The sequence below is a fragment of the Homo sapiens genome, chromosome X, assembly GCF_000001405.40.
Source record: "Homo sapiens chromosome X, GRCh38.p14 Primary Assembly".
Taxonomy (NCBI): Eukaryota; Metazoa; Chordata; class Mammalia; order Primates; family Hominidae; genus Homo; species Homo sapiens.
In genome coordinates this window covers 9,792,507-9,815,401 of record NC_000023.11, presented here as the reverse complement: position 1 = coordinate 9,815,401, position 22,895 = coordinate 9,792,507, and the positions used below count along the sequence as shown (strand labels likewise).

General features: G+C 46.6%; 1 protein-coding gene across 2 annotated transcripts in view, besides 1 other annotated feature; it reads right to left on the bottom strand.

Annotated features, from left to right (window-relative positions):
* Positions 1-22,895, bottom strand: part of SHROOM2 (shroom family member 2) — a 163,015-nt gene that overhangs the window by 134,042 nt on the left and 6,078 nt on the right. The gene's annotated exons all lie outside the window — the stretch shown is intronic.
* Positions 21,851-22,374: an enhancer, noted in NCBI's record as "H3K27ac-H3K4me1 hESC enhancer chrX:9761068-9761591 (GRCh37/hg19 assembly coordinates)". NCBI's record gives its function as "activates a minimal SCP1, AML or CMV promoter by ChIP-STARR-seq in naive H9 embryonic stem cells {active_cell/tissue: H9 hESC(naive)}" and the evidence as "EXISTENCE:reporter gene assay evidence [ECO:0000049][PMID:30033119]".

Sequence of the window (22,895 nt, the reverse complement as noted above, 5' to 3'; positions counted from 1 at the left end):
TCTAGAGAACCCTAATACAGATTTTGGTACAAAGAGTGGTTCTAGAGGAACAGAATATTAAGGATGAAGTTCTTTTGTGGGTTGAGGTTTCTGGAGTTGCCTGCTTAATATGATTAGACTCCAAAATGCTAAGGACTCCACTTCTCATAGTATGGAGAACACTGATAGTCCTTGGCATAAACCATTTAGAGAGTTATGCAAAATAAATGCATTTGACACTCCTGATTCACTGCTCATGAGAGGCAAGGAGTTTAGTGACTCTATACATAATACCTTTGACCATATGTGGAAAACCAAGGAATATAATGAAGTTGGTTGGTTGCTCCTAAGTTCAGTGGGCAAAGTGATGAAAGAAAATGATGAACTTGGGGATTCTGTCTCCCGGCTTCAAAAGCAGATACTGAGCCTCAAATCTGCTAAGATTGCCCTGAGTGAGAGTCTTATCTCCTGTAGAGAAAGAGCTGAAATTGTGGAAAAACAGACACATGCTCTTATCATGCGAGGGGCTGACCTTCAATGAAAGATGCATGCACAGCCTCGCCAGGTGTCTACTGTTAAAGTGAGGGCATTGATTCGAAAAGAATAGGACCCTGCAACTTGGAATGGGGACGGTGAGGGAGAACCCTGATGAAGCTGGGGACACTGAGTTTGTAAACTCCGATGAACCTTTTTTGCCAGAAGGAACAGCTTCCCCATCCCCTGTAATGGCAACATCCCTTCCCTGACCCATGGCTGCCATCAGCCTTTCCACCTTTGTCTGAGGAGATAAACCCTGTGCTGCCTGAGGCAACAGTGATGGCCTCCCCTGAGGCAATTGCCAGGCAAAATATGTTGATTCTTCTCAGGAGCCACCCCCGACACCCCTGTTTGCTTCTAGACCTATCACTAAAGTCCCAGCAGGCCCCTAGAGGTGAGGTTGAGAATGTGACCCATGAGGAGGTGCGCTACACTCGAAAAGAACCATTTGAGTTCTATAATTGATATAAACAGAAATCTTGGAGAACAGGCATGGGAATAGATATTAAGGGTATGGGATAATGGTGGAAAGAACACAGAGTTGGATCAGGCTGAATTTATTGATTTGGGCCCACTAAGTAGGGACTCTGCTTTTAATGTTGCAGCTGGGGAGTTAAAAAAAGGTTCTAAGAGTTTATTTGCTTGGTTAGCTGAACTATGGATTAAAAGATGGCCCACTGGGAGTGAGCTGGAAATGCCTGATCTCCCTTGGTTTAATGTAGAGGAAGGGATCCAAAGGCTTAGGGAGATTGGGATGGTGGAGTGGATTAGCCACTTTAGACCTACTCATCCCAGCTGGGAGGGTCCAGAAGACATACCCTTAACCAATGCCTTGCAAAATAGATTCGTGAGGGCAGCACCTGCATCTTTGAAGAGCCCTGTAATTGTTCTTCCCTGTATGTCAGATCTAATGGTGGGAACTGCAGTCACGCAACTACAAAATTTAAATATGATGGGAATAATTGGATCCCGAGGTGGCAGGAGCCAAGTGATGACACTCAACCGTCAAAGGCAAGGTGTGCGTAGCTACCATAATGGACAGCAGAGGCAAAGCGGCAATCAGAATAGTCTGACTCGTGTACAGCTCTGGCACTGGCTAATTAATCATGGTGTTCCTAGAAGGGAAATCGATAGGAAGCCTACTGCCTTCCTACTGAATTTATATAAGCAGAAAACTTCTGGGTCGAATGGACAAAAGACTAATTTGAATTATAAAAACAGAGAATCACAGCCCCTCAATCAATTTCCAGACTTGAGCCAGTTTACAGACCCAGAATCCCTTGAATGAAGAGGAGGCCAGGTCCCCTTGAGGAAGGACCCCACTACATTACGAACAATTTATGTGGTGACTCTTTCTCCCATCCTTCCCCAATGAGACCTCTGGACTTTAGCCAGGGTAACTGTGCATTGGGGAAAGGGAAATGATCAGACATTTTGGGGACTACTGGACACTGGCTCTGAGCTGACGTTGATTCCAAGGGAGCCAAAACGTCACTGTGGTCCTCCAGTTGAAGTAGGGGCTTATGGAGGTATGGTAATTAATGGAGTTTTAGCTCAGGTCCGACTTACAGTGGGTCCCCAGACTCATCCTGTGGTCATTTCCCCAGTGCCAGAATGCATAATTGGCATAGACATACTCAGCAGCTGGCAGAACCCCCACATTGGCTCCCTGACTGGTAGGGCGAGGGCTACTATGGTGGGAAAGGCCCAGTGGAAGCCATTAGAGCTGCCTCTACCTAGAAAAAGAGTAAATCAAAAACAATGTCACATCCCCAGAAGGATTGCAGAAATTAATGTCACCATCAAGGACTTGAAAGACACACGGGTGGTGATTCCCACCACATCCCCGTTCAACTCTCCCATTTAGCCCGTGCAGAAGACAGATGGATCTTGGAGAATGACACTGGATTATCGTAAGCTTCACCAAGTGGTGATTTCAGTTGCAGCTGCTGTACCAGATGTGGTTTCACTGCTTGAGCAAACTAACACATCTCCTGGTACCTGGTATGCGGCCATTGACTTGGCAAATGCCTTTTTCTCCATTCCTGTCCACAAGGCCCACCAGAAGCAATTTGTCTTCAGCAGCAATATACCTTTACTGTCCTACCTCAGTGGTATATCACCTCTCCAGCTTTGTGTCATAATCTTGTTCAGAGAGACCTTGATTGCTTTTCGCTTCCCTAAGACATCACACTGGTCCACTGCATTGATGATATTATACCAATTGGATCCAGTGAACAAGAAGTAGCAAACACACTGGACTTATTGGTGAGACATTTGCGTGCCAGAGGATGGGAAATAAATCTGACTAAAATTCACGGACCTTCTACCTCAGTAAAATTTCTAGGGGTCCAATGGTATGGGGCCTGTCGAGATATTCCAAGGTGAAGAATAAGTTGCTGCATTTGGCCTCTCCTACAAGCAAGAAAGAGGCACAACAACGCTTAGTGGGCCTATTTGGATTTTGGAGGCAACACCTCATTTGGGTGTGTTACTCCAACCCATTTATCGAGTGACCCGAAAGGCTGCCAGTTTTGAATGGGGTCCAGAACTGGAGAAGGCTCTGCAACAGGTCCAGGCTGCTGTGCAAGCTGCTCTGCCACTTGGGCCGTATGATCCAATGGTGCCTGAGGTGAGAGTGGCAGATAAGGATGCTGTTTGGAGCCTTTGGCAGGCCCCCATAAGTGAATCACAGTGGAGGCCTCTAGGATTTTGGAGCAAGGCCCTGCCATCTTCTGCAGACAACTACTCTCCTTTTGAGATAAAGCTCTTGGCCTGTTACTGGGCTTTGGCAGAAACTGAACATTTGACTATGGGTCATCAAGTCACCATGCGACCTGAACTACCTATCATGAACTGGATGCTTTCTGGCCCATCTAGCCATAAAGCTGGGTGTGCACAGCAGCATTCCATCATCAAATGGAAGTGGTATATACGTGATCGGGCTCAAGCAGGTCCTGAAGGCACAAGTAAGTTACATGAGGAAATGGCTCAAATGCCCATGGTCTCCACTCTGCCACCCTGTCTTCTCTCCCCCAGCCTGCACCAATAGTCTCATGGGGAGTTCCCTATGATCAGCTGACAGAGGAAGAGAAGACTAGGGTCTGGTTCACAGACAGTTCTGCATGATATGCAGACACCACCCCAAAATAGAGAGTGGCACCACTACAGCCCCTTTCTACGACACCCCGAAGGACAGCGGTGAAGGGAAATCTTTCCAGTGGGCAGAACTTGGAGCAGTGCACCTGGTTGTGCACTTTGCATGGACAGAGAAATGGCCAGATGTGTGATTATATACTGATTCATGGGCTGAATTCACGGGAAGAAGCATGATTGGAAAATTGGTGACAAAGAAATTCGGGGATGAGGTATGTGGATGGACCTCTCTGAGTGGTCAAAAACTGTGAAGATATTTGTATCCCATGTGAGTGCTCACCAACAGGTGACCTCAGTAGAGTAGGATTTTAATAATCAACTGGATAGGATGACCCTTTCTGTGGACACCACTCAGCCTCTTTTCCCAGCCACCCGTCATCGCCCAATGGGCCCATGAACAAAGTGGCCATGGTGGCAGGGACGGAGGTTACACATGGACTCAGCAACATGGACTTCCACTCACCAAGGCTGACCTGGCTATGGCCACTGCTGGGTACCCAATTTGCCAGCAGCAGAGACCAACACTGAGCCCTTGATATGGCACCATTCCTCAGGGTGATCAGCCAGCTACCTGGTGGCAGGTTGATTATACTGGACCTCTTCCATCATGGCAAGGGCAGAGGGTTGTCCTCACTGGAATAGACACTTACTCCAGATATGGGTTTGCCTATCCTGCACGCGATGCTTCTGCCAAGACTACCATCTGTGGACTCACGGAATGCCTTATCCACCATCATGGTATTCCACACAGCATCGCCTCTAAGGCACTCATTTCATAGCTAAAGAAGTGTGGCAGTGGGTTCATGCTCATGGAATTCACTGGTCTTACCATGTTCCCCTTCATCCTGAAGCAGCTGGATTAATAGAACGGTGGAATGGCCTTTTGAAGTCACAATTATAACACCAATTAGGTGACAATACTTTGCAGGGCTGGGGCAAAGTTCTTCAGAAGGCCATGTATGCTCTGAATCAGCGCCCAATATATGGTACTGTTTCTCCCATAGCCAGGATTCACGAGTCCAGAAATCAAGGGGTGCAAGTAGAAGTGGCAAAACTCACCATCACCCCTAGTGATCCACTAGCAAAATTTTTGCTTCCTGTTCCTGCAACATTACGTTCTGCTGGCCTAGGGGGTCTTAGTTCCAGAGGGAGGAACGCTGCCACCAGGAGACACAACAATGATTCCATTAAACTGGAAGTTCAGATTGCCACCTGGGTGCTTTGGGCTCCTCCTACCTTTAAGTCAACAGGCTAAGAAGGGAGTTACAGTGTTGGCTGGGGTGACTGACCCAGACTATCAGATAAAATCAGTCTACTACTCCGCAATGGAACTAGGGAAGAGTATGCATGCAATACAGGAGACCCATTAGGGCGTCTCTTAGTATTACCATGCCCTGTGATTAAGGTCAAGGGGACACTACAACAGCCCAATCCAGGCCGGACTACAAATGACCCAGACCCTTCAGGAATGAAGGTTTGGGTCACTCCACCAGGCAAAAAAAAACACACAACCAGCTAAGGTGCTTGCTGAAGGCAAAGGGAATACAGAATGGGTAGTAGAAGAGGGTAGTCATCAGTACCAGCTACAACCATGTGACCAGCTGCAGACATGGGGACTGCAATTGTCATGAGTATTTCCTCCTCCTTTTGCTAAAACCATGTTTGCGCATGTATACACTTGTACTAGTGCTAGGAAAATATCTTTATTTTCTTTTCTTTTCCCTTATCGTGTGACATAAGATTTATTGACTTCAGGCTGGGCGCAGTGACTCACGCCTGTAATCCCAGCACTTTGGGAGGCCAAGGCAGGTGGATCACTTGAGGTCAGGAGTTCGAGACCAGCCTGGAAAACATGGTGAAACCCCGTCTCTACTAAAAACACACACACAAAAAAATTGGCTGGCATCGTGGTGCACGCCTGTAGTCCCAGCTACTCGGGAGGCTGAGGCAGGAGAATCGCTTGAACCCAGGAGGCAGAGGTTGCAGTGAGCTGAGATCGTGCCACTGCACTCCAGCCTGGGCAACAGAGCGAGACTCTGTCTCAAAAAAAGATTTATTGACTTCATATCAGCATTTAAGTATTATCAGCTTTATGTAATAGTATTTGGGTTGGGGAATGATGCATTTCTGGTTATACAAAGGATAGTTGCATGTTAGGCGTAATTATGACCTTACCATTGTCTTTACTTGAAGATTATGTACGATCTCACATTGACAAGGGGTGGACTTGTGATGGTTAATACTGAGTGTCAACTTGATTGGATTGAAGAATACCAAGTATTGATCCTGGGTGTGTCTGTGAGGGTGTTGCCAAAAGAGATTAACATTTGAGTCAGTGGGCTGGGGAAGGCAGATCTGCCCTCAATCTGGTGGGCACCATCTAATCTAAAGCAGACAAAAAGGCGTGAAAAGGAGAGACTGGTCTAGCCTACATCTTTCTCCCGTGCTGGATGCTTCCTGGCCTCAAACATCAGACTCCAGGTTCTTCAGTTTTGGGACTCGGACTGGCTCTCCTTGCTCCTCAGCTTGCAGATGGCCTACTGTGGGACATTGTGATCATGTGAGTTAATACTTAATAAACTCCTCTTCATATATATTTCCTATTAGTTCTGTCTCTCTAGAGAACCCTGACTAATAAGAGAAAGCAGATCAGTGTGGGGGTGGGATTTGGGGGAAGGGAGGGAAAGGGGAGGGAGTACTAATGGATGTAGGGATTCTTTTTTGGGGTGATAAAAATGTTCTGGAATTAAAGTGATGATTGCACAAGTCAGTGAATATACAGAAAAAATACCACTAAACTGTACCCTTTAACATGGCGAATTTTGTGACATGTGAATTACATCCATTTATTTTTATTATTTTTTTTTTGAGACGAAGTTCACTCTTGTCCCCCAGGCTGGAGTGCAATGGCGCGAACTTGGCTCACTGCAACCTCCGCTTCCCAGGTTCAAGCGATTCTCTTGCCTCAGCCTCCCGAGTAGCTGGGATTATAGGCGCCTGATACCACGCCTGGCTAATTTTTGTATTTTTAGTGGAGACAGGGTTTCACCACGTTGGCCAGGCTGGTCTCGAACTCCTGACCTCAGGTGATCCACCCACCTTGGCCTCCCAAAGTGCTGGGATTACAGGCGTGAACCACTGCGCCCAACCATTATATCCACTTATTTTAAAAAAATTTTTTGAGACAGGGTCTCACTCTGTCACCTAGGCTGGAGTACAGTGCCGTAATGATAGCTCACTGCAGCCTCCAACTCTCTGACTCAAGCCAAATCCTCCAGCCTCAGGCTCCCAAGTAGGTGGGACTATAGGTGTGCACCACCACACCTGGCTAATTTTTTTTTTTTTTTTTGTAGAGACAGAGTCTCACTATATTGCCCAGTCTGGTCTCGAACTCCTGGGCTCCAGTGATCCTCCCAAAGCACTGGGATTACAGGTGTGAGCCACAGCGCACAGTCTCCATTTTTAATAATTAAAAAACTCAAGAAAAAAGAAGTGCAGGAAGGCTTCCTTCAGCCTCCCCGACCACCCCCAAGTAAAGGAACTCCCAGGCTGCACAGCACACCTTTAATCTGAGAGGGTGAAGTACTACCGTATTTACTGGATGAAACCCTCAAACACCGGAGATCGGAATGCTCCAAGCGGGGCAAAGTCTGGGAGGAAATCAGGCTGTGGAGACAATCCACAGACCAGTTCTCCCTGCGGTGCCAGGCCTGGGCTTGTCCAGGCCAAAAGCTCGGGGCTGCATGTGCTCAGGTGTGCCTGGCACCCAGGATGGTCACAAGTCAGGCTCTCTTCCTCTTTTCCTGCTGAACCACGCCCCTCTCTGACCTCCCCTTGACATTGAACCTTAAAAAGAGACTTCAGAAGCAGTCAAGTTAGCAGCAGGAGCCTGGCAGCCTAGGGCGGGCAGGAAAGGACACTCAGAAGGGCTGCTCTCAGGGAGGATCACAGAAGGGCTCCCTTTAGACAGTGAGAAATGCCTTTTCACAGAAAAGCATCACCTTGCTACAAGCAATGTGGAAAACAGGAAAGAAAAGCAAATTAATCTCAGGAGTCTAATTTCTCTGCTTTACTTTTTTGTTGGGGCATGGACAGCTTTTTTTACGGCCTAGACCAGCAGGCAGCATGCAGTCCTGAACTCGGGTTTTATTTCCGTGGCACAGCACAGGCTATGTGACACGCCTGTTGCTATGAGGCCTCTGGAAGCCTGATTTTGTAATGTCTTTGCAATACGCCAAGGCCTTGATCCTTAGAAACACCTGAAGCCTGTTCCTGTCTCCCAGGGCTGCCGGCCTCCCAACAGGTCCCCTCAGCCCAGGCTCATGGAAACAGCCCCCTGTGCAACCTGCTTGCTCCTGGGGACACTCTGACATTTGCCCCCAAACTCGCACGCCTGAAACAAAGCAGCAGAATGACCAGGCTTGATGCTTGAATGCAGGAAGGATGAGCGCCCTTTCACAGGCTGGCTTTCCTGCACCTACCAAACATCTACTGAGCATCTGTTATGCGCTAGGCATGGCGACGGGGCTGGCTGTGACCCTGCTGGGGGATCATCCAGGCTCAGACATACTCGAGGCAGGGACCTTCATGAGGCTCCTGAATCCAGACAGAATGGGTGGGAACCCAACCCCTTCACTTGCCAGCTGCGACCCAGGGCCCGGCAGGCCTTCCCTAGACCCCATCTCCATAAAAAAGGATTAAAGTTGGGCCAGGCGTGGTGGCTCACGCCTGTAATCCCAGCACTTTGGGAGGCCAATGCAGGAGGATACCTTGAGCCCAGGAGTTGGAGAACAGCCTGGCTAACATGGTGAAAGCCCAGCTCGACTAAAAATACAAAAATTAGCCAGGTATGGTGGCGCAGGCTTGTAATCCCAGCTACTTGGGAGGCTGAAGCATGAGAATTGCTTGAACCCGGGAGGTGGAGGTTGCAGTGAGCCCGGATAGTGCCACTGCACTCCAGCCTGGGCGACAGAGTGAGACTCTGTCTCAAAAAAAAAAAAAAGGATTAAAGTTGCATGTGATGATTGTGCTGGCACAAGGAGACAGATATATATATATACACACACATATATATACACTGGAGGTTGCAGTGAGCCCGGATAGTGCCACTGCACTCCAGCCTGGGCGACAGAGTGAGACTCTGTCTCAAAAAAAAAAAAAAAGGATTAAAGTTGCATGTGATGATTGTGCTGGCACAAGGAGACAGATATATATATATATACACACACATATATATACACATATATATACATACATATATATATACACACAATCTAGATCATTAATGTATTTCAATTAATCTGTTTAACTTGATGTATTTGATTATTTTATATATATTAATATTATATAGTAAATCATTAAATATTGAAATGTTATCTCGAAACATTTTTGGGGACCTAAAAGTTCATTTTCTTCTTGTGAAAACTAGAACATGTTCATGGGCCCCAGCGATGTGCCTGCTGTGCGAGTGAAGAGACTGGCCCTGCCATAACCACGGGCAGGTTTCTCAACCTCTCTAAGCCTAACGCTCCTCACTAACTGTCTTAGTTCAAGATGCTGTAACAAAACACCACAGGCTAGGAGGCTCAAAAACAGCAGAAATGTATTGCTCATAGCTCTGGAGGCTGGGAGTCCAAGGTCAAGACATGGCGGATTCAGTGTCTGCTGTGGACCTACTTCCTGGTTTGTAGGAGGCGCCTTCTCACTGTGTCCTCACAGGATGGAAGGGAGGAAGAACTACCTGAGTCTCTTTTATAAGGGCACTGACCCCATTCCTAATCACCTCCCAAAGACCCCACCTCTTGTTTTTGTTTTTTTTTTTTTTTTGAGACACAGTTTCACTCTGTCACCCAGGCTGGAGTGCAACGGCGTGATCTCAGCTCACTGCAACCTCCGCCTCCCAGGTTCAAGCGATGCCACTCCAACTCGTGAGAACCACAACAGATACTCTCCTTAAGTCCCAACTCAAGTCTTCTCCCATTAATTGGTTTCCTTTTAGCAGCAGCAGGAAAATCAGCCCATCTTGGCCTCCATCCCTGACTTCCCTCCGCTATAGAAGACCCAACTCCAGTATCAGCCCTACATTCTGCCTCAGCCTCCCGAGCAGCTGGGATTACAGGCACTTGCCAACCATGCCCGGCTAATTTTTTAATCTTTAGTAGAGACAGGGTTTCACCATGTTGGCCAGGCTGGTCTCAAACTCCTGACCTCAAGTGATCTGCCCACCTCAGCCCCACAAAGTGGGATTACAGGCGTGAGCCACCACACCCGGCCCCCACCTCCTAATACCATCACCTTGTGGGTTAGGATTTCAACACCGGAATTTTGGGGGGACAGAAATATTCAGATCATAGCACCAATAACAACTGTATAAACCTACCCCACAGAACCACTGTGAAGTTCACATAAAGTTGAACAGTGCCTGGAGCACAGTGGAGATTTGGCAGATGCTACTTGGATTCTTTTATTTTTTTATTTTTTATTTTTTGAGACAGTCTCGCTCTGTCGCCCAGGCTGGAGAGCAGTGGTGCGATCTCGGCTCACTGCAACCTCCGTCTCCCAGGTTCAAGCAATTCTTCTACCTCAGCCTCCGGAGTGAGATTACAGGCACACACCACCACTCCTGGCTAACTTTTGTATTTTTTTTTTTTTTAGTAGACATGAGGGTCTCACCATGTTGGCCAAGCAAGCTCGTCTCGAACTCCTGACCTCAAATGATCCACCCACCTCAGCCTCCCAAAGTGCTGGGATTACAGATATGAGCCACTGTGCCTGGCTGCTATGTGGATTCTGACTGCACCACTCCAATGCCATGTGACTTGGTGACACGGGACAACAGCAGTTCCCAGAGCCCAGGAACTCACGGCATAATGCAAAGCTGCTGGCATACAGTAGGGGTTCTACAGAGCCCAGGAGTCATTCCTACAACGTTCCACCCTCCAGGGCTCCAGACTGGGCAGTGCTGGTGAGGGTAAAGTAAAAGGAAACCCTGGTTCCTCCCAATTTTCAGAGGTCTGGGGACAGCCACCCAGGTCAGTGTGCAGGAGACAGCTGCACCCACCAGCTCACCACAGCCAGTCTCAGGATGCCGCTCCTCTGACCTTCTGAAGCAGAGACTCTTCCTTGCAGTGGGTCAGATGGCACGTTTCCAGAGGGCCACAAATAACAAAGTGGTAAGGTCCCACTGATCTCAGGTCTGCAGGCTTCCTACTAGGCTGTTTCAGGCTATGGTTTTCTTGGTTGCAAGCAACGGAAATGAATTCCTATATCTAAGCGAAAGGGTGATTCACTAAGATGCTACCAGGAATGTAAGGATTGTTGAAAGTCTTAGGTAAAGGGTCAGAAATGAGCCAGAGACAAGGAGCCTGGGGAGGCTGGGCTTGTAGACCGTTGCATCCAAGCTGTTGTCTCTGGGCCCCGGCCCATCAGCCACAGCAGGCCACAGAGCTGACTGCACCCAGCCTTGCCCTGCTTGAGACTCAGAGTCCTGGGAAGGAGTGTTAAGTCACACACCACCTCCTGCTGCACCATGAGCCATGCTCCTTCAGCCTCCACCTCTCCAAAGACCTCATCCACTGGGGAGTTGTCAAAGGAAGACGGGGAGCTAACAGAAAGAGACATCAGACACCACAGAATTTAACGTGCCATCCTCCCAACCCGGGCACGATCTAGTTAACCCAGTGGGCCTTCCTTAACCCACCCAGTCCATCTTCCCAAGGCCAGACACTGTGAGTGACCACAGATTAGGACCGTTAAAATGTCTGTGGATGTTTAAACGGCTAGATTTGTTATCGAGACTGGTTGGTGGTCCTTATATCCACCACACGCACATAAAACAATACCTGTCGAGAACCCGTGCTGCCCAACAGTGCTGGCAGATTCTCACCAGCACTGCTTTTCCCTTGTATGCCCATGGAGTATACTGCATGCACAGGAGAAAACCCTAAAATCCTGACTTCTGTGTCCGGAGGTGGTCTGTGATGGCGGCCCCTCCTAAGAGTTGGCTGTGTGCAATGTCACAACTGATGGCTATGTTCATTTTGTAAAAACCAGGCCCAAGTTCATCAGTACCTCATCAAAACCACCTTCCCAGGAAGACAGGAGAGGCTCCTGAATCTGGTAGTGTGTGGCAGTCAGTTCTGCTTTCTTCCTGACAGGAGGCACGGAGCACCATCGGGTGGGAAAAGCGCCGGGCACCCTTCTCTGGAGTCCTGGGGGCAGGCACCAAAGAGACAGCATGGAGGCCTGCCTCTCCACCCAGCCTCTGGCACCTGAGCCAGTCCCATACCCATGGAACCAAGGGTTACCGCAAAGCAAGGCTGCTGTGTGCATTTCTGTTTTAGAAAAAAAAATCTAAAATCTTTTCAGCCTACAAATTTTTAAAAAATTATTTTTAAGAAGTCTTTGTATGGCTCATGTGGCTTACACAGTAAGATAGGCTTGAGTGTCTTGTTTAGCAAGGAGGTAAAGAGGGAGAAAGAGCTGGGATGCTACCAGGGGTGGTGGCTCCCAACTGTAATCCCAGCACTTTGGGAGGCTGAGGCAGGAGGACTGCTTGAGCTCAGGAGTTCAAGACCAACCTGGGCAACATAGTAAGACCCCCATCTCCACAAAAAAAAAAAAACAAAAAACCAAGTCAGAAGTTGGGGTGGTGTGTGCCTGTGGTCCCAGCTACTCAGGGGGCTAAGGCAGGAGGATTGCTTGAGCCCAGGAGGTCAAGGCTGCAGGGAACTGTGATCACGCCACTGCACTCCAGCCTGGGTGACACAGCAAGATGCTGTTTCATTTAAAAAAAAAAAAAAAAAGAAATCTGCAGCTGTGATGTCACCCAGATGGAGACTTCAGGGATCCTGACTCCATGTACGACCTGCATGATCCAGACAGATCACTCTCAGCCCAAGTTACCTTGTCTTAGATGGTCCTCATAAAAAGGAAGGGGACAAAGGACCTAACGGTGCTCAGAACAGTGTAACAATGTGCAGTCGTTCATCCCATCTCAAGGCTACGTGTAAGCTGTGTTTAAAGGACTTTAATATTTGAGGATCTATTACATGCCAGGCAATATGCCCGCGATACCAGCAATGAAACAGAGCCAGTCCCCACTCTCAGGGACCTCCCGGGTCAAGTAGGCTTGAGGATGCTGCAAGACCAATGATTACAGAGGGCCACCGAGGGCATTCCACATGACTGGGGATGGACAGTTAGGGCCACTTCGCCTGGGTGATGTATTCTGAGCAAAGCCTTCCACAAAACTGTGAATGTCTCAGAACCTCTGCAAAGCCTCAAATAACAGAGGATGCTGGGAGACCAGCAAATCATTCTCTAAAGCAGCACTCAGCAAACTTTTTACCATGTGACTGAATCACGTTGTTAAAATATGGGTTCTGATTCAGCAGGTATGGGGCAGGGGCTGAGATTCTGCAGTTCTAACGAGCTCCCAGGTGATGCGGATATGCTGACCTAAAAACCACACTTTGCCTAACAAGAGTCTGCAGCGAGCTGGGCATGGTGAGGCACGACTGTAGTGCCAATGGCATCAGGAGGCCGAGGTGGGAAGATCACTTGAGCCCGGGAGCTCAAGTCCAGCCTGGGCAACATAGCTTAAGACCCCATCTCTTTTAAAAAAAGAAAAAAAAAAAGGCTAAAACGGAGCTGTCCAACAGACTAAGAGCACCACACATCTACCTTCAAATTGGTTAGGAGCTACATTTCAAAGAGTAAAAAGGAATATGTCAAATTAATTTTATTTTTATTTTTAATTTTTATTTTTTGAGACAGGGTGTTTCTTACTCTGTCACCCAGGCTGGCGTGTAGTGGCACAATCACAGCTCACCGCAGCCTCAACCTCCTGGGCTCAGGTGATCCTCCCACCTCAGCCTCTCAAGCAGCTTGGACTACAGGTGCCAGTCACCAACGCCTGGCTAATTTTTTGTATTTTTTTGTAGAGACGGGGTTTCACCATGTTGCCCAGCCTGGTCTCGAATTCCTGGGCTCAAGCGATTGGCCCACCTTGGCCTCCCAAGTGCTAGGATTACATGCACGAGCCACCATGCCTGGCCAGGTTAATTTTAATAATATATTTGAGTTACTTAACCCAATGTAGTCAAAATATTATAATTCCAACATAATAAATTATTATTAAAATATTTTACATCTTTTGTGTTTCAGACTAAGTCTAAAATCCAGTGTATATTTTAATTTACAGTATATCTCAATTTGAACCAGCTACATTTCAACTGTTCAACAGTCACATATGACAAATGGCCACCATATTAGACAATGCAGGACTGAAGGATCAAGGTGGGTAACAGCAGAAGATGAGGCCAGGGAAAAGACAGATGCTAAAGCATGAAGAACTTTTCATACTCAGCTAAAGTGTTGGATACAGTTTGGTTGTGTCCCCACCCAAATCTCATCTTCAATTATAGCTCCCATAATTCCCATATGTTATGGGAGGGACCTGGTGGGAGATAATTGAATCATGGGGGCAGTTTCCCCCATACTGTTCTCATGGTAGTGAATAAGTCTCATGAGATCTGATGGTTTTATAAGGAGTTTTCCTTTTCACATGGCTCTCATTCTCTCTTGCCTGCTGCCATGTAAGACATCCTTCTGCTCTTCCTTGTTCTTCTGCCATGATGGTGAGGCCTCCCCAGCCACATGGAACTGTGAGTCCATTAAACCTCTTTCCTTTATAAATTACCCAGTCTCGGGTATGTCTGGCAGCGTGAGAACAGACTAATACAGTGTTACATGAAGAGTTACTGGCAAACGAGGGTGGAAAATAGGCAGGATCGATAAAACATAAAAAGCCTTCTAAGGTGGGAGGATTGCTTGAGGCCAGAGTTCAAGACCAGCCTGGGCAACACAGTGAGACTCTGTATCTACAAAAAATAAAAATAATTAACTGAGCATGGTGCCGCATGCCTGTAGTCCCAGCTATCTCGGAGGCTGAGGCAAGGGTTGGGGGTAGAATCACTTGCGCTCAGGAGATTGAGGTTACAGTGATTTATCATTACACCACTGCATACCACCCACTCCAGTGGGTGACAGAGATGAGAACCCCATCTCTATAAAATAAAAATAAAGTGGACAGACATGGTGGCTCATGCCTGTAATCTCAGCACTTTGGGAGGCTGAGGCGGGTGGATCACTTGAGGTCAGGAGTTCAAGACCAGCCTGGCCAACATGGTGAAACCCCATCTCTACTAAAAATACAAAAATTTGCCAGGCATGGTGCCAGGTGCCTGTAATCCCAGCTACTTGGGAGGCTGAGGCAAGAGAATCACTTGAACCTGGGAAGCGGAGGTTGCAGTGAGCCAAGATCACGCCACTGCACCCCAGCCTGGGTGACAGAGCATGACTCCATCTCAAATAATAATAATAATAATAATAATACATAAAATAAATAAGCCTTCTATACCTAGCTAAGGTGTCCCATGAGGAATTACTGAGGCTTTTCCAGCAAGAGCATGAGAAGTAGACCACTGTTTTGGCACACCGACTACTGGAGGTCTCAAGAGTCTGTCATGTGAAGAGGTGAGCAGCAGTATGCATGTTACAGACTACTGTGATTGCCCAGGCAGTCACTGGAGCAAACCACTGGAGGCAGTGACGCTGGGCATGAGAAGAAAGCAATGCACACCCCGTATTTAGGCTCCAAAGGATTGGTGATCAACTGGCTGTGGGAGGTTAAGGGGAGGAAGGCATCAGGGACGACTTCTAGATTTGGGGATAAACTGATGATCAAGATTAGAAATTCAGAATTAGAGAAGGTAAAGGAAGATGAATGATTCCCATTTGGATTGTGCTGAGTTTAAAGGGCCTCAGCAACACACAAGGGCCATCTCAGAGTTCAGACGAAAAGTTGATTTGGTAAAATGGTCATTGAAAATTAAAAAAAGAAGAGAAGTTGAGGCTGCACATATAGATATGAGCATTGTCTATAGGCACCATATATCACCATGTTTACAAATTTGCAAACAGATGCACGTTATCTCGAGGAAGCACATGAGACCACCTAGATGAGAGAGAGAGGACAGATAAAAGGACCTTCAAGAAATCCAACCTTCTAGTAGATGGCAAAGGAAAAGAACCAGTGTAAGCCACTGTAAAAATAGAAAGAAGGGGAAATAAAGAGTTTTCATAGGAATTGAACATTTTTTTCAGTGAAGCAATTACAACATGGGTAATTTAAAAATTAAAAATTCTTAATTAATGGTAATTAATTAATGGGTAATTTAAGAATTAAAAATTAAACTCTCAGGCCAGGCGTGGTGGCTCACACCTGTAATCCCAGCACTTTGGGAGGCTGAGGCAGGCAGATCACCTGAGGTCAGGAGTTCGAGACCAGCCTGGCCAACATGGCGAAACCCCATCTCCACTAAAAATACAAAAATTAGCCGGGCGCGGTGGCGCACCTGTAATCCCAGCTACTCAGGAGGTTAAGACACGAAAATTGCTTGAACCGGGGAGGCAAAGGTTGCAGTGAGCCAAGATCATGCCACAGCACTCCAGCCTGAGTGACAGAGCCAGACTCCATCTCAAAAAAAAAAAAAAAAAAAAAAAAAAAAGAATTAAACTCTCCGTAAAGGCAAACAAGTTCCTGCCTCAGGGTACAAGGAGGTGCATCCTCAGGAATTTTACCTTTGTGTTGAGATTTCACAACCATGAATAGTGGTACAAGTTTTAATTACTTGTCCCCAAAACACCAGCCACTAAAAATGAGGAGGGGGAGTGGAAATGGCTCCGTCCCAAACCCTAATGGCATCAGCATGTGAGAGCTCTGTCGTTAAATCAACACAAAATAAATATGATTGAAGCAGCAGCAGGCCTATCTTTTCAAGTCCAGATGTTTTCTTTCCAAACTTTAATTCAAGATTCAGGGCATCTAAACATAATGAAAATGTTAAGAAAAGCTGCACATACAAAAAAGCATAGTTGTTTGAAAGACTGACATATTTGACCAATATAAAGTACACTCCGTTTTCCAGAAATTAGGGTTTTTAAAAATATGCCTGTCTAGAAAAACCTAAATTATAAAAATATATTCCACAACAAAACATACCATTTCTTAAAACGTCAAGTGGCATACACACAATTAAACTCCTTTCATCTGATTCCAAAGATTGTTGACAATGTAATTCTTAAGGGTTTTCAAGCAATTAAAAATTAGATCTACGAGGTTCAAAGCAAAGAATTCCACAGAGATGGGGAAAAATCAATACAGCTGTACTTTCAGAAATAAGATTATTACATGTTTTGGGCTATGGATCAATCTTTTCCTTTATTTTCAATTTTTTTCATTTTAATTGTGCAACAAGAAAAAAGACACTGTACAAAGCATTATACAATTAGCAGAGATAAATATCACCATGTTTACAAATTTGCAAACAGATGCACAATTAACACCAATAGATGTGGAATTTCGTCAGCTTCAGAATCTGCAAGCCATAGGTAAAGAATCTCTTTCACCTCTTTTGCAAGTCCAGGGAGGGTTTTCAGCTGGACTTGGGCCCCTGCTCTCCCTACCAGCTTCCTCCACAGGCTGTCCTAACTCCTCTTTGTAGGCGGCCAGTACCTGAACAGACAAGGTCTTTCCTCAGCACTCCCACTCCGCCAGCTCCACCTTCCTCCCGAGGCCAGTTTTACTTGGCTTTCATCTGGCTTTCAACTTTATCTCTCCTCTCTTTGCTGGTCTAATTCATGTGTCTGGGTGCTACTACCAGGGGGAAAAAAGTCTGCCATACAGAACTATAATTAATTAATCTGATGAAGGCAGTTCTGTTAATGATGACAATGTGTAGCCCTCCCAGGCAACATTTGCATTTTAACCAAGGCAGTTAAAGAAAGGACACCACCACCAGGAGGAAGGTCCAATCCCTGAAATCATCCTAACAGCAGCTGGCCACCCACCCCACCCACTGTGCCTCCGGCCAGCCCCACCTAGGACTAATTATCTAGACTGGGCATTCTCCCGGCCTCCTGCCCCAATGCTCCAGGGCTCCCAGGAAATCATCCCCGGGGAGGAGAAGGAAGAGCAAGTGGGGGGTGGGGGTGAATAAATTACCAGCTGAGAGAAAAGGGTAAGGAGGTGGAAAGACGCCAATGGGCGTGGAGGTCTCATTTTATATAATAAGTGTGCAGGGAATAGGCTTCATGCTAATTGGACACCCACAGTGATGCTTTCCTCACTCCTTCCAGCATGGGTGTAAAAGAAGCACCGTATATTCCGCCTCTTAAAGCTGGGTATATTTGCTAGAAGGAAAACTTCTGATTTCTCCCAGCATTTCATTTGTGAGAATAGTCTGTTACAGCAAGTAATCCAAAAAACATACAATGAATGGCCCAAACACAGCAGAGGCTTACTTCTTGCTCACCATGGATGGTGACCATAGCATGGGCAGCCACCTCTGCAGTCATTCAGGGATCCACGCTGATGAACTCTGCCCTGCGGCCATCTTCATTCCAGGCAGCCAGAAGGGGAAAAGTAAAATGGCAGGCATGGCTGCAGCTGCACTCCCCAGGGTAGAAGCGTCAGGAGGCCACAGCTAACTGCTAGGGAGGCTGGGAAATGTGGCCCAACAGTGTCTGAGAGGAGGAGGCAACAAGGACTCGGGCAGGCAGCATTTCTGCCACACTTGTGGGTCCCACTCTAAACCCTAACAGATTTTCTACTCCAAAGATTGAAAGAGTGAAGAAATAGAGTCTTGTCACAGGGATACTGAATCTTCATCTTTCCCACTATTGCCACTTCCCAAAACTACTTTTTTAACACCCTACTCTGGCCCAGGAACAGTGGCTCACATCAGTAATCTCAGCACTTTCGGTAGCCATGGTGGGTAGATCACTTGAGCCCAAGAGTTCGAGACCACCCTGGGCAATATGGCGAAACCCTACCTCTACAGAAAATACAAAAAATTAGCCAGATGAGGTGGCATGTGCCTGTAGTCCTAATACTTGGGGGGCTGAGGTGGGAAGACTGCTTGAGCCCAGGTGACTGAGGTTGCAGTGAACCGTGATCACACCACCGCACTCCAGCCTGAATGACAGAACGAGACCCCATATCAAAACAAACAAAAAAACAAATAAAAACCCTACTCTGAATACCACATTGATCTGAAAGAGCTACTCCCTTTATTAATATTATAAAAATAAGAAACACTATTATTCTGGAAAAAAGTTTTTTGGTAGAGGAGAGGAAAGAATCACTTCTGGTGGGCTACAAATAACATAGGAAATGTACTGATGCTGGGCATTAGATGTATTTTTTATTTTATTTTTATTTTTTATTTATTTTTTGTTTTTGAGACAGAGTCTCACTCTGTCGCCCAGGCTGGAGTGCAGTGGTGTGATCTTGGCTCACTGCACCCTCAACCTCCTTGGCTCAAAGCGATCCTCCCACCTCAGCCTCCCAAGTAGCTGGGACTGGAGGTACATACCACCTTGCCTGGCTAATTTTTCTATTTGTTGTAGAGATGGGGTCTCATTTTGTTGCCCATGCTTGTCTTGACTTCCTGGGCTCAAGCAATCCTCCCACCTCGGCCTCCCAAAGTTCCAAATTCTTAATGAATCAGGATTGAGTAGGGAAAGTGAGGAAGAGAAGTGAGGGGGAATTTGAATTTACTAGAGATAGCTTTATGTGTTGCCTCATTTAATCCCCATGATACCACAATAAAATAGGAATGATTCTAGTTGGACAGACAGAGGATTACTGATTAGAAACGGTTAGGAACTGAGAGCAAGATCCAGCTCCGGATGCAAGCAAGCAAGCACTGCCTCCTCTGCCTAGTGGTAACCTTCCCTCCAAACTGGAACCACTACAGCCAAAGTTGGGGGGCAGAGATGATCACCCTCGCCCAGCTGAGCAAAGGAGAGATCCCCTCAACTGGCAGACTTCCCATTACTTTTCAACCTGTACTACACCAGAAGTTTATTAAGTAGAAAAAAAGTATCTGACAAAAACATGGCCGCCTCCCTGCCCCTCCAGAAAAAAAAAAAGAGAAAGATACAGCCTTAGAGGAATACCCAGGGAAACAGCTTCACCTGATCACTCACCCCCATGCACGGAGTGTCCAAACAGCATTTTGGGGAACGCAACCTTCAATACCAGCAGACGGCCAAGGAGCACTAGACATTTGAAGACAACCTCTAACAGGGAAGAAAGCAGCCAAAACAAACAACAAAAGCAGAGCTCAGAAACAATCTATGCAAAAAGAGGACATTTTTAGAGACCAGTTTAATACTGTCACAGATATGGAAGAATCATGAAACAAGATCAGTATGGTATGAAAAAGGAACATTTGAGAAACAAATTTTAAAAGTTTAGAATCTGAGGGAAAAATGAGGACATACATTTAAAACTTAATGGAAAGATTAGAAGATGATGTTGAACAAAATCTTCCAGGAAGAACAAAAATACAAAGAAATGCAAAATAAGAGAGCTGGGCATAGTGGTACACACCTGTAAACCCAACTACTTGGGAGGCTGAGATGGGAGGATCAGTTAAGCACAGGAGTTCAAGGCTGTAGTGTGGCTATAACCGTGCCTGTGAATAGCCACGGCTCTCCAGCCAGAGCAACACAGCAAGACCCTGTCTCTTCAAAAAAAAAAGAAAGAAAGAAAGAAAGAAAAAGAAAAATGAGAGGGAAAAAGTAGACCTAGTACAAAAGATCAAGAAACAAAAACGTCTGATCTCCCTCCAGCAATACTGCACAACAGCAGAGTGGACACCACCTTCAGAGTGCTGTGGGAGAACTGTCTCCATTCAGGACTACGCCCAAACAATTTACTGTCAAGATAAAAATCATGCTGTTTTCAGACAGAGAAGATCTCAAAAGATGACCCCCGGTGTGTCTGAATATATTAAGAGATATTTCATCACTGGGGAGGGTTTGAGGGATGAATCAAGGATAAGTGCACTGAAAATTAAGCAAAGAAAACTATCCTGAACCCTAGTGACTGCAGAAACTTGTGTTGTGGGTACACTGGCTGGGGCCAGAGTCACGGGCAGTAAAAGAATTTACTGAGACAGTAGTCAGTTAAAGAAAAACTAGTTTATGGCTGGGCGCGGTGGCTCATGTCTGTAATCCCCAGCACTTTGGGAGGCTGAGGTGGGCGGATCACCCAAGGTTGGGATTTTGAGACCAGCCTGACCAACATGGAGAAACCCCATCTCTACTAAAAATACAAAATTAACCAGGCGTAGTGGCAGGCGCCTGTAATCCCAGCTACTCAGGAGGCTGAGGCAGAAGAATCACTTGAGCCTGGGAGGCGGAGGTTGCAGTGAGCCGAGATCTCGCCATTGCACTCCAGCCTGGGCAACAAGAGCGAAACTACATCTCAGAAAAAAGAAAAGAAGAGAAGAGAAGAGAAGAGAAGACTAATTTATTAGAGAAAAAGTATGTTGCAAGGGAGCAACAGGCAACACAGCAGAGAAGGGGTTGCAAAGAGGCAGGGGCTGGAGGGAAGTTTTATAGGATCATGCTGGAGAAGCTACACGCAGAGTTGTTTGTGGTTAGCAGTTTCTCAGAACAATTGTTCTCCCCCACCCTGGGGTCCCTTCTTCATTGATGCTAACTTATCAGGACTCCACAGTATGTACCCCCAGACTCAGCAGTGATAGCAATAGCAACCAAAATAAACACTGAATATTGGTAACCCCATGCTCCTCAGAGCGGGGAAGAGGCCAGCCTTAGTTGCTCACGCCTGTAATCTCAACATTTTGGGAGGCCAAGGTGGGAGGATCACTTGAGGCCATGAGTTCAGGATCAACCCAAGCAATACGGTGAAACCCCATCTCTACAAAAAATACAAAAATTAGCTGGGCATAGTGGCATGCACCTGTAGTCACAGCTACTCAGGAGGCTGAGGGGGAAGGATCACTTGAGTCCAGGAGATGGAGGCTGCAGTGAGCTGTGATCATGACACTGCACTCCAGCTTGAGCAAGAGAGCAAGACCCTGTCTAAAAAAAAAAAAAGAAAGGAAGAGGCTAGGTATGCTGCTCAAGATCCTACAATTCACAGGATGGCCCCACACCAAAAAATTATGATGTAATCACATTAGGGGTATGAAGGGCCAAGAATTGTGCCTGAGTAGTTGGGGGAGGGTAGATGAGCAATGAAAAAGAGTGGAAATAAGGGCCAGGCGCAGTGGCTCATGCCTGTAATCTCAGCACTTTGGGAGGCTGAGGTGGACAGATCACTTGAGGCCAAGAGTTTGAGACCAGCCTGGCCATCATGGCGAAACCCCATCTCTACTAAAAATATAAAAATTAGCTGGGCATGGTGGCTCGAGCCTGTAATCCCAGCTACTCGGGAGGGTGAGGTGGGAGGATCGCTTGAACCCCAGAGGTGGAGGTTGCAGTGAGCCGAGATCATGCCATTGCACTCTGGCCTGAGTGGCAGGACGAGACTTTCAAAAAAAAAAAAAGAGTGGAAAAAAGGCTACATCCTAATATCCTACATTGGGAAGAACAAGCTAATAAACAAAAGTTGCAGCAATATACAATATAAGCCATCATTTAGGGATATGGACAGAAATACCAAAAGAAATCAGCTAAGACGTTTTGATAGTTGTCTCTAGGGAGGGGGAAGTGATCAGTAGTCAGGCCAAATGACCAGTAGCATATAAGCACCCTTGAAGAACTACTTGATAATTCATACTGTGCAAGAGCCACTTTGATAAAATAAAACCTCATAAAAGATACACTGACACTCCTAGCGTGTCACGATGGCTCATGCCTATAATCCCAGCACTTTGGGAGGCCAAGGCGGGTGGTTCACTTGAGGTCAGGAGTTAGAGACCAGCCTGGCTACCATGGTGAAACCCTGTCTCTACTAAAAATACAAAAATTAGCAGGGCGTGGTGGTGTGCGCCTGTAACGCCAGGCTGAGGTGGGAGGATTGCTTGAACCCCAGAGGCGGAGGTTGCAGTGAGCCAAGATCATGCCACTGCACTCCAGTGTGGGAGACAGAGCAAGAATCTGTCTTAAAAAAAAAAAAATACGCTATCATGCTTGCCCCTTCCCTTCTATGAGTAAGAAGTGTTACCTTTCAAGGACACAGAGTCTACCCTGCCTGGGTTCTTGTTGACCTCAACAATTTGCCTTTGATCTGAAAGTCACCTTTTGCCAAAAGAAAGATAATCCCAGCCCTTCCTAGCCAAGCCAAGATGCTGTTTTTCTTCCCTTTCCATCCAAAAGAAGCAGCCCTCATTGCCTGC